The sequence below is a fragment of the Homo sapiens genome, chromosome 5 (assembly GCF_000001405.40).
Source record: "Homo sapiens chromosome 5, GRCh38.p14 Primary Assembly".
In the NCBI taxonomy this organism is placed as follows: Eukaryota; Metazoa; Chordata; class Mammalia; order Primates; family Hominidae; genus Homo; species Homo sapiens.
The window spans coordinates 83008841-83025831 of NC_000005.10; the positions used below are offsets into that span (position 1 = coordinate 83008841).

Consider the following 16991-nt stretch of genomic DNA (forward strand, 5'->3'; position numbering starts at 1 on the left):
AGGAGAATCCCTTGAACTTGGGAGTTGGAGGCTGCAGTGAACCTAGATCTTGCCACTGCACTCCGGCCTGGATGACAGAGTGAGACTCCATCTCAAAAACAGAGAAAAGTTGTCAGAAATTATATTTTCTTCCAATTACAAAAAGCCTAAAAAAGACCTTTGAACAACAACTTGGATATGATTTTTTAAGGTAAGTTTTTTTTGTTTCATGAATGGCTGAGCTTCCCCATAACATATGACTCACTTTTGTCCCCAGCACAAGCTTTCAGAGCAAATACTGACTGCAAAAACAAAGTCTCACAAGTCTCCTGTGATGCCAAGTTCTTCCCAAGTTCCTCCGTCTCCCACTGCAGAGTGTGAGGGACTTCTTAAGGAACATGGCATTTCTACTGGGAGCAGATTTTTATCCCATATTCTAGGTTAAAAGGATTGGACAATATACGAGATATATATATATATATATATGTATACATATACACACACACACACATATATACATATAAACACACGCATATATATATATATATATACACACACACACATATATAAAGGATCTCTTTTGTTATTATGGATCATTCACTGGAGATGTTCACCATAAGCATGGCTTAATAGCAAAATATAAAATTAAAAATTTTGGTCTGCAAGGAGTTCCCCCATCTCCCTTGGACTGAAATGGCTTCATGAAAGTTGAAAAAAAAAAAAAAAGACAAACCTTGAAAACAACATCTGGTGTTGAGTTCAGAAATGAGAACCAGATATGCTTTATCATCCGTATTTCAGTTCACATGATTAGCCTGCCAGTATGGTGAAAGGGAAAAGGTTTACTAATTTAATTTGTGTTTTGTTTTGAAGAAATAATAGAAATATTTTCACTCTTAAAATAGTTATGGGTCCTTTTTTAAAGTATGCAGGCCATCCCTAAATATACATAAAGAATATTAGAATTAATATGATTTTTAAAATATGTTTAGCATTATTATAATCCACTTTAAAGGATTCTCTGAAGGGTTTCCTCTAAGTAGCAACAACCAAACGATATTAAGGGTGCATTTAAAAAGCTTTAAAAGCTGGTTTTCCAAGTAATTTATGGTAGATGGGTTCCTGAAAGAAAAAAACTAAGAGCAAATAACCATTTGATTCAGCAATCTCATTGTCAGTACACATCCCATTCAGAGTGCCATCATAAAAGAACAAGTCGAGTTTTTGTTTTTTGAAAACTTCAGTGATTTACATTATGAAAACGAAAAATTGAAGATATATGCAGACACTTTGGGGAAGGGGATTAGTACAATTATAAGTTGTTTAAAATTTACCAAGCACTATGGAGCCCTTTCTGTTTTACCTTTACAGTAAACTCAAAGAAAACCAAGCATATATTGTTATTCCTGTTAAGCAGATGATAATATTGAAATTGATAAACATGGTATGTTATACTTACTTTTATAGTGCTAACATGTACTAGAACCTAGAACTTCTGTACCTTAGATCTGGGCATTTTTTTAAAAATTATTTCATGCTATTTTTCTACAAGTTACTGAAAATCCAACAAGCTATGTCCCTGTATAGCTGGTTTTTGGGACCTAGAGTTTAACTGCACTCAATCCTAGAAAAATACACCTATGTGAAACATCAGAACTTAAAGACAAAGATATTAACATTGCACTTGGAATATCAATGTGGTAAAGAATCCCATAGATCTGGACCTCATGACTTTGATGGAATATTTTTATTAATGAATTTTTCTAATTGACTTTGTAAATAATTTCATTTTCTACTTTTTCATTTGTTTTACATGTAACCTTCTCCATAATCATTCCATTCCAAGCAATTCTATGGTTATAAAAATAGGTCCTTTATTCATTCAAGAACAGAAAAAGAATAAAATTGTCTAATGCATATTCAGCATTAATAAGATTTATTTCCTTTTTTTGAGGGGAGATGCAAAGACATCATTTAAAATATACTCTTAAATCTTACAAATGAGAAAATTGAAGTGGAATGTTTCTCTTTCTTAAAATGGAGCATTCTTTCTTTCTTTTTTCTTTTATTTATTTATTTTTTTGATATGGAGTCTCACTCTGTCGCCAAGCTGGAGTGGAATGGCACAATCTCAGCTCACTGTAACCTCCGATTCCCTGGTTCAAGCAATTCTCTTGCCTCAGCCTCCTGAGTAGCTGGGATTACAGACAAGTGCTACCATGCCCAGCTAATTTTTGTATTTTTAGTAGAGACAGGGTTTCACCATGTTGGCCAGGATGGTCTCAATCTCCTGACCTGGTGACCTGCCTGCCTTGGCCTCCCAAAGTGCTGGGATTATAGCCGTGAGCCACCATGCCCGGCCAAAATGGAGTTTTCTAAGTTTCATGGTGGCAGAGCCCTTTGGCTATCCTGCCAAGATCAGTCCTAAAGTCTTATTCCAGTACTAAATTATCAAGTTTCCCAAAATGACCATGAACCCTGGAACATTTTTTCCTTTTTCTTATTCCCTCCGTAATTAATATATAGTCAATCCTGTTACTTTATGTAGGATTAGCAATAATAACAGCAACAATAATAGATGTCCATCATTATTACAATTTATTATTTCCATGGAAAAGCAGAATACTTGAGAAAATCACAAAATAATCACAATATATACTATTGTTTTGTACTTTATAGTATATGCAGTTTGGCTTACTTCTCAAAACCAATTACATAAACAGTGAAGATTTTATTCTTCCAATGCTAATGAAATAGAAATAGGGGCTTGGAGAAGGTTAATAAGATATACAAGGTTACTGTATTAGTCCATTTTCACACTGCTCATAAAGACATACCCAAGACTGGGCAATTTACAAAAGAAAGGAGTTTATTGGACTTACAGTTCCTCGTGGCTGGGGAGGCCTCACAATCATGGAAGAAGGTTAAAGGCACATCTCATATGGTGGCAGACAAGAGAAGAGAGCTTGTGCAGGAAAACTCCCCCTTACAGTAACCATCAGATCTCGTGAGCCTTACTCACTATCACAAGAATAGCATGGGAAAGACCTGCCCCCATGACTCAATTACCTCCAACCAGGTTCCTTTCACAACATATGGGAATTCAAGATGAGATTTGGGTGGGGACACAGCCAAACCCTGTCATTTACATTGTCAGTAAATGACAGAGTTGGATTAAGAATCTAGGCATCTCTGCTCTGCTGCGGATTTGCAGGGGGTTCACGATATCAAGTTCCCTAATTCTGAAGCTACATTCACTTTAAATAGCCAGATGAGTCAAGTGTGGACCAGTCTGAAATTCAGAAGCTCTGAATTCTTCTGAGCACTCCCAGCCTGATTTAGTATTCTAAGGTGATATGACATCATAGTTTAGGGCATGGGCCCCAGAGGCATCCAGACCTTGTTTCACATCCCTAATTCCTCCACTTACTAGCTCGATGAGCTTGAGCAAGGTAGTTTCAGTCTCAGTTTTCTTCTCTGTAAATGGAGATTTTCATGAAACTTAAATGAGATAACAAATGTAAAATTCTTGGCCACAATAAGTGTTGCATTAATCATTGCTACTAGCATTTTACTTTATGCTCATTTCTCTTCTCCCATTAACGCTCTGCAACTGTTAATATGTATATAAAAGTTTCTTAGAGGAAAGAAAATGAAAACACATATAGGTTTCATCACACACAAAACACTGAACACACATGGAGACTCTTTCCCCCAGGGACTTACATTCTACCTCTTGGAATTACTGCAAAGTCCCTTGAATCCAGATGTAACATAGCATTTCTTTGGACTGAATAAATAATACATCTTGCTTAGCCATGTGACTCCATTTTTTAATCTCTAGGTTTTTGCTGTAATAAGAAATAAATTTAAATATTTACTAAAAAGCTGTACTGAATTCCATTATGAATTTTCTTGCTCAACAAATAGCTAAAATAGCATTATAATTTTAGATGAGGTAGTAAGGCATTGCTTTGTGAAAATATTTGACATTATTCAAAAGGAATGGAAATCAATGTTCTAGGGCATTTTAGCTTTCAAACTTTAATCAACATGAATTTATAAGATTTTTAAAAATTATATAGTCTTACATTGATTCATAGAGGTTAGAGGATTCCTTTTTATTTATGGTTAGATCCATTCCCTTGAATGTATGCCAAAAACTAAATTATGATCATATTTGATGAAATAGTCATAGTTAACAATAAATACTTTGTTTTTTCCTTGTCTCCTTTTGATTTTATCATCCCCCCTATTTAGGATTAAAATACAGTAACAACAAATGTAAATGTCAGAAACTTGATCCTAATTCTAAGTGATTCATTCAAAGACGCCCCAAACTCTTAATACGTATTTTAGATGGCAATGACTTCATTAACATACTTGTGTGCATAAATTCAGAATATTTCTGTATCTTTTAGCATGCTCTCAGTCACATGTAATAGAAAACTCAAAATGGCTTAAATATTAAGGACAATGTTGGCTTGCATAGCTGCTAATTCAGAGATAAGGTGGGCTTCAGGGAGGTATTAATCCAATGGTTCTGGCTGGGCTCCCCTACAGTTCTCTCAGCTCTGCTCTACTCCACATATAATATGGTCCTTGGGATGGAACAGGATAGCTTCAGAATATACAAGTTCTACACCAAAAATGACCACAGCCAAGAAAAGAAAATAAAGTACTTTCCAGTACTCTTTCATAACAGAGAAAAAACTTCTTTCTGATTTGTCCAGTAACTCCCCTCTTCTTCAAATACTTTTGGTTAAAATTGGGTTGCGTGCCCACTTGTGTACCAATACTTGATTCAGTGGGGTAGTGGAATCACAAAGGTCAGTTTCCCCTGAGGTACTTGACTACATGACAAAAGGGTGATGAAAGAAACAAAATTGGTATTCCTTGTAAATGAAAAGAGGAAAACACATACTACTTCACAGGCAACCATCAGCATTCTCTACCTCTTTCCATATCTACCCATTCATTTTTCTGAGGGGTATTAACTAAGTTAATTAAGTTTCTGAAACAGAAATACCCATTCTGACATGCCCTTGGAAGGAAAGTACAAATGTTTTAAATACTAAATAAATTGGCTTGAGGTAAGAAATTCTTATACTGCTGGCAACAGACCACATCACAAGTCATGGATGAGATTAAATTTTAAGTATAATGGGTGGGATAAGTCCAAGCATAAGAAAACAGGTCTCTGCAAGTACGTTTTATGCATATATAATGGGAAATATCACCCTTTAAAAATATAAACCAGAAGATTTCATACAAACTAACATGAAAAAAGAAAAATGAGGTTTCTTATGAAAAGCACACTGGGATTAGGCATGCAGGTGTGATCCAGTATTAAGATTCCTATAACACCAGTTACTACTATAATCCACAGATAAATTTCGGCCAGTGATCTGTCCAAAACCCAGTAACAAAACTTCTCTGGAAATGAGATTTTACTTACAAGAAGATTTACACACTACTGGTAATGTTTACTGTAATTTTACAAAATGCAAAATGAGGGATTTTCAGAGCTCTAATAAAACCAAAGGAAAATATTGACTTTCTGGAAATGATGTTTTGGAAATTAGTGACCGTATCAAAGTAGAAATTTTTTTTTAATTTTAGAATTTCTTTTTGATTCACTGCCCCCATAATTGTTCCAAACTGCTTGCAAATATCTGCCCCAAAGAAGCAACTGGGCATTATTCTAAAACTAATTTAAGGCTGAAAGGTGATTAATTATTTATGTTAATCGATTATTTCAGTATTCATAGAACAGATACTATATGCCTAGAAATAATTATAATACATACCTCCTGCCCTCAAAGAGTTTAAAATCTATTAGAGTCAATCCAAAACTTAGGAAACAATTAGTAAAGAATAAAACAGTGTATTTCATTAACTATTAAATTATGAATCAGGGCATATTGATGTAGAAAAGTCCAAATTAGGAAAACTGTGTGGTTTAGACAAATTACAGAAGTCATCACCATCACATCAACATCTATTAAACACTCATCATGGACCAGATATATTCCATATCAATTGATCTCATAATAATGCTGTAAATTCTAATCATTATCATCAATATTTTATAGACAAGGAAATTAAGGCTTGGAGCAATAAACTTGCTCAAAGTTAAAAAGTTAATAAAACGCAGGATTAGGCCGGGCACTCTGGCTTGCACATTTGAGAGGCTGAGGAGGTGGATCACCTATGATCAGGAGTTCAAGACCAGCCTGACCAACATGGCAAAACCCCGTCTCTATTAAAAATACAAAAATTAGCTGGACTTGGTGGTGCGCACCTGTGCCCCAGCTACTTGGGAGGGTGAGGCAGGGAGAGTCGCTTGAACCTGGGAGGCAGAAGTTGCAGTGAGCTGAGATCTCCCCAGTGCATTCCAGCCTGGGCAACAGAGCAAGATTCCATCTCAAAAAAAAAAAAAGCAGGATTAGGAATTGAGCACATATAGTCAAATACTAGAATCTAGTTGCTTAGCTACTAAGGTATTTTGCCTTCAGGAGTAAGACAAATTTGGTAAGCACTTGCAGACTTAGCAGTCCTTAATCAAGAAGGAGATTGAAGGGCATTTTAGGAAGGAGGACCAATATAAGTGAAAGCATAGTCACTGAAGTGCATGGTAGGTATTGTGGTCCTTAAAGTAATTGCCCAGACTGAATCTAAAGTATGGATAAGGTAGTAAGGGGAGAAAATATTGGAAAAATCTAGTGGGGTTGGATTATAGAGGTTAATAAAAGCATTGAGCAGTTTTGTAAAACAATTTCTCAGTATAAAATAACTGTGCAAACTGTCTCATCTCCTCTCTTTCTCATCTTCAACTGCATTTTTAAACTCAAAGCACTTGAAATGAATCACCAGGGACCACCCAACATCTTTCAGATGTTTAGATTAAACTCAAAAGTGTAGACGTGTTCTTAATAGCTAAAAGGTTAATACTTTTCAAATCCTGGGTCAGACTACCCCAGGGAGAAAGCAAGAGATATTCTGATGACCTGGAAATCCCACAGGCCCCAGGTGGCTTCCCAGGACTGCTCCTTCACATTCCATACATTTTGCAGTCTGGCATTGCCATGTCAGCTTGAAATGGAATGCAGACTTACACCATGTCAGAGTCGAAGTTCTCCTCATAAACTGAAATGGAAAGAGCTCCAAAACTGAAATAGTTTATACATACAAGTTTATAAACATGTGGGTAACCTCTAGAAAAAAAAAAAAGGTCATTGTGATTGCCCCTGGGAAAGGTAGCTGGGAGGCTGGAGGACATTGGAAGAGAAGAAATGTATTTTTCCCTGTCACCTTGTATTTTTTCCATTCAGAAGGATATATATGTTTTATTAAGTATTCAAAAATTTGTATATTGAGAGTGAATTAGCTTTCTATTGAAGATTATGTTCAAGTTACCTCAAAATCTCCCAATTTTCAGGTGAAACTCCTCTAGTTTCTAGTTTGTAATACCCTTGTCATCCTGGTTAAGTCGTCTCTGGTTTGTTGCAGTGGATCAAAAATTTTGGCACTGGAAAGTAGACATAGCATTATAGGTATTGTCTGGTTCAAAAGAGAATAGAACTGTACCATATCTCTTAGTTGCTATAACTTTATCTATGCAGCCTCAACATTTAATTAGTTGTTTTGGCAGCTACAAATCTCTGTTGACTCATATTGTGATTGCAGTCAACTGAAACCCCCAAGTTCCATTAAAGCTCATCTTCTTCAACTTGTGTTTCCAGTTAGATATTCGAACTTTATATCTATCCCTGTTAAATCTCACTGTGTTTATACTGGCCCATTATTTCTTTTTTTTTTTTTTTTTTTTTTTTTTTGAGACGGAGTCTTGCTCTGTCACCCAGGCTGGAGTGCAGTGGCGTGATCTCAGCTCACTGCAAGCTCCACCTCCCGGGTTCACGCCATTCTCCTGCCTCAGCCTCCCGAGTAGCTGGGACTACAGGCGCCCGCCACTGTGCCCGGCTAATTTTTTGTATTTTTAGTAGAGATGGGGTTTCACCGTGGTCTCGATCTCCTGACCTTGTGATCCGCCCGCCTGGGCCTCCCATAGTGCTGGGATTACAGGCGTGAGCCACCATGCCCGGCCATACTGGCCCATTATTTCAACCTGTCAAGGTCTCTTTTTGGATTTGATTCTAGAACTCTTTCTTCTTGATTTCTGTCTCATAAATTTGATGTATATGTCATTCATTCTTTCCTCCAGGCCACTAATAAACAAGCAAAATAGAAAAGGAACCTAGCTTCAGGCTGCTAGTGCCCTGTCTCTAGGTTTCAAGATTAAAGCTGGTCCTTCAATATTTTTTTGATAATAGTCATCTACTTGTCACCGATCCACCCAACTCCATTGTCAGATTTCTTACTTTGTCTTCCAGAATACTGTGAAAAAATTATTGGATTCTTTGCTGAAATTAAAATAAACTAACAAGTACTTGGATGGATTTTATTGGATGTAGATGGGTTATACGAAAAATCTCTGTGTGTGTATACATGTGCACATGTATGCATGTACATATTAATATGTGCTTTCCTTGGAGGTGGATATATAGTTTTCACTGGATTTTCAGAAATTTTCCTGAAATAAAAAGATTTAAAACCATTAATGTAGTCAATTCTATTGCGATATAATATATTAAAAATTCTCTGTTTGAAATTTCCAGTGATTCTTATTTACTGAGTGCCTACTTTGTGTCAGGACTGCTTTAGATATCATGGATCCAGATGTGAACAAAATAGACCAAGCTTCTGCCCTCACTGAGCTTACATTCTAGTGAGGAAGAACACTAGGTCATTACGACCAAGATGAATAAGAAAATATGTAGTATGTTTTATAGTGATAAGTGCTAAAGAGCAAAAATTAAGCAGAGCAGCATGTATAAGATGGCTTCCTCAATGAGAAGTTGACATGTAAAGACCTCGAAGAACTAAGGTGACTTGAGGGAAGAAGATCCCAGGCAAAGCAAGGGCAAAGCACCCTGAGAGCAAAATTCTTACCCTACCCAACAAGCAGCAAGCCTGTGTCAGAGTAACCCAAAGGGAAGCAGGTAGAGATGAGTTACGAGAGGATGTGGTTAGAGGAGCCAAAATGGTTTTCCACTAGGGATGGTATTGCCATCTCCAGTGCAGTTGGAAGTACATTGGGAACATTTTTTCATTGTTACATGAATACGGGGTTTTACAGGCACTTGGGGCAAGCAGGGATATCAAAAATCTTACAACCAGAAGGACATTTTCACATTAAAAACTCTTGTCCAGGCCGGGCGCAGTGGCTCACGCCTGTAATCCCAGCACTTTGGGAGGCCGAGGTGGATGGATCACAAGGTCAGGAGATCGAGACCATCCTGGTTAACACGGTGAAACCCCGTCTCTACTAAAAACACAAAAAATTAGCCAGGCGTGGTGGCGGGCGCCTGTAGTCCCAGCTACTCGGGAGGCTGAGGCAGGAGAATGGCGTGAACCCAGGAGGCGGAGCTTGCAGTGAGCCCACATCGCGCCACTGCACTCTAGCCTGGGCAACAGAGTGAGACTCAACTCAAAAAAAAAAGTAAAAATAAAAAATAAATAAATAAAAGTAAAAACTCTTGTCCAAAATGTAAACAACATCCTCCCTGAGAGACTTAACAACTTAAGCCATCTTTTAAACCCTGGATTTTACTCTGAATGAGATGGGAAGCCATTACCGGCCTCTGTACAGAAGAATGAATGGTCTAACTTATATTTTTTGAGACTCAGTCTAGCCATTGTGTCAGAAGTTAGGGAGACCAAGACAGAAGCACAGAGTACAGTTAAGAGGCCATCACCATCATCCATGCAAGAGATGGTGATGGCTAATGATGCCTTCCTACCAGGTTGGTAGGAAGGAGATGATAACTGATAGATTCTGCATAAATGCTTAAGATAGAGTCAGTAAGTATTAGAAGTATTGGAAGTGGAGTGTGAGAGAGAGAAGTAGAGAATGAATCCAAGATTTGTGGCCTGGATAATTGGAAAGACAGAATTATCATTTGTTGCCATGATTGAACACACGGGGAGAAAAGATTTGGTTGGAGTGGAGGGATTAGATGGAAAAACCACATCAGGCAGCTACTTAGATTAATAGACAGATGTAAGTGTATAAGGATATGCATTGTATATAGATACAGTTGTAGAGAGATGAGGATATGGATATGGGTATTGACATGGTCAAAAATATAGATATAGAGATACACAAATGTGGAAAGACTTCTAAAAGAAACCAAAACTATTATATCAGCTATCTCTAGTTTTTCAGGTCATTGATGAATTTTTTTTCTTATATGTTTTCTAAATTATTTACATTAAACATGTCTTAATTTTGTGAAATGTATAATTTATTTTGAATACCCACTACTTCATAAAGCTCACTTGTAACAGAACTCTAATTTAATTTTTCTTTTTACTAGGCTCTTTCTCCAACTCTTTACTCATCAGCTACCAACCGATTCCTCACTTTATTGGGGGATTCTGCTTTGGGAGATTTTAGATTTCAGCCTTACTTTACTATAGTCATTATAACCATGCAATGTATTTTCAGACCCCCAGGATTTTCATTCCAAAGAGAAACAATGGAATTGTTAGCAGCTGGATGCTCTTTGAAAGAGCAAGCTGCACATATTTACTAGAGCTTTGGGGGATTGTAGGAGGAGAGAAAGAATTGTCACTTGGATCCCCTTTGCTGGCAGCACCTCAAAGGTTACCAGGTGAGAACAGCAGTACCCAGCTGCCCTAAAAAGCCGAAGAGAGTGAAATGTAAAACTTGAATTGCCTCTCTCTTCTCATTATGTATTATTTGTCAATCATGGATAAAAGGTGGTTTTTGCCCTCCAGCTGTTAGCCCTGGGGTACATATATCACTCAGTGGTGCCACTTTCTTGCAGAACATTGCAAGAAAAATCAATGATTGCACATTTCTTTGAAAGGAAAGGTGGGCTTTTTCCCTCATTTTAAAATGTTTTTATTTTAACCTGATAGTTTAAACTAAGAAGGCAAAAGTCACTTGGGGAAAAAAAGAAAAAACCATAAACTTTGTTCTCATGGTGATGGACAACTTTAATGCCTATTTGAACACATATGAGGAACTTTTTCCCTCTTCCTATTCGAGCCAAAATATCTGAAATTTACTAGATTACTGCAGCTTGGTGGGAGAGGGATATTGTACTGCTTTACCAAGTACTGACCTTGCCAATGAGCAATAAAAGGCATCCTATCACTCAGTGTGAAACACAGACCTTTAAAAATAGATTCATTTTGATGCCCGCTTTCCACTTATTTTTACAATATTAAAACACATTGCCCTCCTGTGTACATTTTATTCATGTGATACAGAAAGTGCTTTCAAATATTTTTAGCACCATTTTAGGATAAATAACTTTTTATGCTACTATGAAGTGAAGACATAAAGCTCAGGTATATTTTAAGTTCATGTAATAAATACACATTAGGCCATATTACACAAGTCTTTCTGTCTAATGTTCTTCAACAAAACACCAAAGCATCATGTAAATTATTCAAGCACATTCATATTAGACGCTCTTCAGCATCTATTTATTTCTAAAGTTTGCACCTTTGGTTTCCATAAAGAAGAAAAGTCCCAGTGGAGGCAATGCTGAACTTTTCTTAAGATTTACTAAACCAGGAAAGTGTAGCAAAAGCATTGCTAGTCACAGCTTTTATTCTTTTATAAGCTAAATACCATTCACAAAACAATTAGAAACTGTGATAAATGTATGTATTTTACAGGTAAATCAAAATGCTAACATAATAGATTACCTGCAATAAAACGGAGCCTGTTGAAGTAAGATAGAACATTTTCTCCCTCTCGTTCTCTTTTTTCTTTGTCTCATAATTCCAGCTAGGAACAGAAGGTGTTGTCAATTTTAAAAATTCAACAGTGGAAGCCCCAGCAAGACAAGCTTCCCTCTCGAGCAGTAATTTACATGGAAATGTGAGGTGACTGAATCTGTTGTAAATTTTACAGAACATAGGTTTGAACAGTGAGCACAGTTTCATAGTTTCGACCCAGCTATTTCCTCAAGCTTCTTAGTTTCCATGGGCAGGTTGGGCACCCTGCTATACACTCAGGATCAATCGGAAATAAAACCACTGAGAGAGCCCCAGCGGAAGGCACAGAGCTGCCCAGGCTTCTGGCTGAAGCTGTGCAAGGCCATGACATTTCATATGGTTTCCATCTGAAGCTATGAAGGACTGGGGTTTGTCTGTCTGTACCTATGAATGTATGCATATGGGCTTCCACCTCGGCTGGTTATGATTTATGCCTAACTCACTCCAGGCTCCATGGAAATGAACTTCGGTGAACTTCATACAAGTTCAATATTTGTAACCAAACCTGAAATTCCAGGAGTTTTGTCTGGGATTCAATTTCAAAATGAGGACATATCTTTCCAAGGTACATGCTTCCAGCTATTGTTGATTATTTGGCCTCAATATCTGTTAATTTTAATATTGTGCATTCCTGTGTAACTAGAATAACTTCAGATAATTGAAACTTACAGGACTAGCCCTGTGTGGTGGGGTAGTTGTAGAACACCCTAAATTTCAAAGCATATTCCATAAAGGAGCTTCCAAATAATGAGGATTCTGTGGTGGTCCTTGGCAACAAACATTTATTAGTCACTTATAACTATCCTCTTTTCTTTCCATACCTCTACCTCATCCCTAACCCACTCTATCAAAAATGAGATGAGAAGTCAGCCAGACTGAATGGTTGCTGCTCCTTTGTTGATTCTGAATTCCCAACTTTCTGCCTTTATTTTTGTGGCTTTTACCTGGAATAGCTTCTCTCCTTTTGCCATATGCATATAACCGCTCTAATCATAAGGCCCAGTTTACAGCTTCTTCATCCAGGGAGGCTTTCCTGACTCTGTTAATTGGAAATAACCTTTTATCTGTATTTTCATAACTGTATGGAGTGGCAAAATCATCATGATGTATATACATATATTATCTCCCACCCTAGGCCATAGGATGCTTGAGGGCAGGACTAATGAATCTTACTATTATTCAATTGTTAGAAAGATGACTTAGTCAATTTATACTTATTGAAAGAAGAGAGTAAATGAATCAATAAATGAATGTTCATTGTATTCAAATATAAAGTAACAGGAGAACTTGAACATATCCTTTAAGTCCCATAAGAGAAGAATGGAGTGAAAGACAGTATTTAAGGAAGAAAGATATTTTCAGGGCCCTTATTGCTCTTGTGTATTGTCTAGTTAATGCTAACCTCTTCGCCACTGTCAGTCCTAGAAGGGCAAGCATTTCATTGTCCTCATTCACTGCTACATCCCCAGCCCCCAGCATAGTAATTGGCACATGACAGACACTCAATGCATGTTTGCTAAATAAATTACATAGGGAATTTTTTAGAGCAAAGGCTCGTTATAGAGAGGGAAATTTTTGAGGCATTAAAAGAAGATAATACAAACAAAACAAAACCTAAAGCATCTTAAGTCAAATCACTAAAAATGGTCTCCAAATTTCTCTGTGTCTGACCTCGTCTGAGCCTCACTGAGCTTTGAGCTCTCCCCCTGTACAATGTCAAGCCAGGGAGGCAGCCATAAGTGATAATCTATGTAAACTCAACCACTCTCTCATTACCCCAGAGTAGATTGTAAAAACTGATACTGCCTCTTGAGAGTTCTTTTGGAGAGCACTCTCTACTTCCAAAGTAGCTCCCAAACTTGATAAGATCCAAATCTTTGGAGGAAAGATTAACATAGAACCCAGTGGGGATTTTTAATCACATTTAAGCAAGATAACGCGTTATCGGAGTGAAAATTAATCCACACTTCTAGACTATGTTACTTGTGCAACTTGACCCATGGAAATTCATTTAACTAGTTATCTGGTCCTTTTCATGTCATAGGCTTTACTGTCTTGACATCTAAATATTTTTAATTTATGAGTATTCAAATGGCTCTTGATTATGAGAGCTAAAATTTTATTATTATTTCTTGCTTCATAAAGTAAGTAAAACAGTCAAACTCCTAAAGGGAGTATATCAGAATCACATTTCCAATTAGAACTGCAGTTTTATAACATCAGGTATCCAAAGCTGACAACACAAACAAATTCATTTAGTTCTGCATTCAAAATTTAATATCAGCTGGAAGAAATCTACATAAAATTACATAGTGTCCTACCTTTATTCAAAGAGATGAAGAATGGTTGATGCATATTTTAATGAACTTTGTAAAACAACTAATCTCTCGCTTGAAATTGCTCACATTTCCAGACAGTTCTCGTGACTTTTTTTTTTTGAGACAGAGTCTCACTCTGTCGCCCAGGCTGGAGTGCAGTGGCGTGATCTCGGCTCACGGCAAGTTCCGCCTCCCGGGTTCACGCCATTCTCCTGCCTCAGCCTCCCGAGTAGCTGGGATTACAGGCGACCGCCACCATGCCTGGCTAATTTTTTGTATTTTTAGTAGAGACGTGGTTTCACTGTGTTAGCCAGGATGGTCTCAATCTCCTGACCTCGTGATCCGCCAGCCTTGACCTCCCAAAGTGCTGGGATTACAGGCGTGAGCCACCTTGCCCGGCCAGTTCTTGTGACTTTTGATGGCATCAGATCCTATTTAAAAATAGACAAAAACGTTATTTATAGTGCTAACTATTCACATCTCTTTCCACAAATGATTTTAAATGGAATTCTCATTGATATTTCATTAGAAAAAGAATAGGGAGGATTATCTTCACTTAACAAACTTTATTTACCTGGTTAATGGAAATGAAAATTATAAATACGATGACAGGAAAAAGAGCTTAAGACTTTCTAATACTTCAAATACGTTAATTCGATAAGCATTATTCACATGTTAACTACTCAGCCAGGAAACGTTTCTCAACCACTAATATGAAATGAGGAACGCACAGCAAAAAGTGGTTTGTACCCAGTTTCATGCAAATTATTGCAGGTGAATTACTGATTATTTTTATTTACTTATTATAAAGAAAGGCAGTTCCAAAAGATTTATCTATTAACTTGGCTTGATACTGTTTATAATTATAATTATAATAGCTATCAAATTCTATAAAGTTGTTTTAAAAGCATATTAATATCACATTCTCAAACTTCTTCATTTTTACAATATCAAGCGCTAACAGGTGACAGTATAAACAAATTCATTTAGTTCAACCATTTATTTTACTTTAAAATGTCATAATATAATTCCAGCACTTTGTGTATGATATGCATATGCAAACTACTCATAGGATGAATTCTAATCTCCAAATACAAACTATAATTACCTACATAATTGCATTTCTGAGTTGGACGAGTACAGTAAAATAGCTTCAGAATTCTGATGAGAAAAGCCTTCACTCAATATTTTAGGTCTTTTTTTTTTTTTAATGAGACAGGGTCTCTCTGTCAGGGTTGTTGAGGCTGCGGTGAGCTGTGATCAGGCCACTGTATCCCTGACCTCCTAGGTTCACGTGATCCTCCCACCTCACCCCCAGAAGTAACTAGGACTACAGGTGCACACCACAACCCCTAGTTAATTTTTATATTTTTTGTAGAGACAGGGTTTTGCCATGTTGCCCAGGCTGGTCTCAAACTCTTAGACTCAGCAGTCCGACTGCCTCAGCCTCCCAAAGTGCTAGGATTACAGGCATGAGCCACCATGCCCAGTTAACATTTTAGGTCATTCTTAACTTTCTTTGAAAACACAAAATGGCTAATTTAGTGATGAATTTAAATATAATTATATCTTCTAAAGTGTTACATTAGTCAATACATGACAAATAGTCACAAAATCAGCATTTCTTCTCTACATTCATTTACTATTAGAAATGTGATGAATAGGGACATAGATGAAGCTGGAAACCATCATTCTCAGCAAACTAACATAAGAACAGAAAACCAAACACTGTGTGTTCACACTCATAAGTGGGAGTTGAACAATGAGAACACATGGACACAGGGAGGGGAACATCACACACCAGGGCCTGTTGGGGGGTGGGGGGCTAGGGGAGGGATAGCATTAGGAAAAATACCTAATATAGATGACGGGTTGATGGGTGCAGCAAACCACAATGGGACGTGTATACCTATGTAACAAACCTGCACGTTCTGCACATGTACCCCAGAACTTAAAGTATAATAATAAAAAAAGGGAACTGTAATAAACAACAAAAAACTGAAGAAAAAACAAAGAAAGAAATGTGATGAATAGGCCAAAACTATGTTATTACATATTCCCTGTATTTTGGAAATCAAAACAAACCTATGATGTTGGCAGGGCAGGCATTTTCCCTCCTTTTTTAAATATGAGAAATCTGAGACATAGCCTGAGTTCCTCAAGATCACATAGTTAGTAAGAAGAAGACACAGAGAGCTACGTTAGAGAGAAAGGATCTGTCAGCAAAAAATTAATGAAACATTATGCATTTAGGTCAGCCAGAACTACTACCTCCATTTTCAATATTTTTTTCCAAGAACCCTGATTTGCTTTCTATGGATCACCCTAATTTGTTTTCCCTGTACTTATATGGTAGCATGTCCTCCACATGTGACCAGTTTATTCCAATCAGATTTCTATTTTCCATTGTCCTCAGATTCAAGTGCTGGCATATCCTTACACAGTTCTTTTTAGGTTGTCAATCAAAGGTCCTACAACTCTTCCTTTTGAAGCACTTTGTACCTCAGAGAAATCAGAAGGCCAGAAACAAAATTCTACCAGGTCAAAAACATGTTCTAGGAAGAAACTTGCTTTGTATATAGTCATTCAACAAACATTCACTGATTTTTACCATATATCTGACAACGGCTGAGGACATCACTCCCTAGTCAACAGATAACTATAGTGTACCATGGTATGTGCTCTAATAGAAGCAATACATTAGAGAGCTCCCAGGAGGGGGTTAGAAAACACTGAGGAGGTTAGGGAAGGCTAACAGAGAAGAGAACAATTGAGACAGCCATCAGAAGACGAAAAGGAATCAGCAAGTAAAGAAAG

At 37.1% G+C, this 16991-nt stretch overlaps 1 long non-coding RNA gene across 1 annotated transcript, besides 1 other annotated feature; it reads right to left on the reverse strand.

The window, feature by feature from the left end:
- Positions 1-2560: 2560 nt before the first annotated feature.
- Positions 2561-14350, reverse strand: LOC105379052 (uncharacterized). The gene is made up of 3 exons (XR_001742775.2): positions 14178-14350; positions 11785-12895; positions 2561-7510 (listed from the first exon to the last, which is right to left on the reverse strand). It is a non-coding gene; the product is annotated as an uncharacterized LOC105379052 (long non-coding RNA).
- Positions 3418-3567: an enhancer, noted in NCBI's record as "active region_22739". NCBI's record gives its function as "activates an Ori minimal core promoter by ATAC-STARR-seq in GM12878 lymphoblastoid cells {active_cell/tissue: GM12878}" and the evidence as "EXISTENCE:reporter gene assay evidence [ECO:0000049][PMID:35858748]".
- Positions 14351-16991: the final 2641 nt, after the last annotated feature.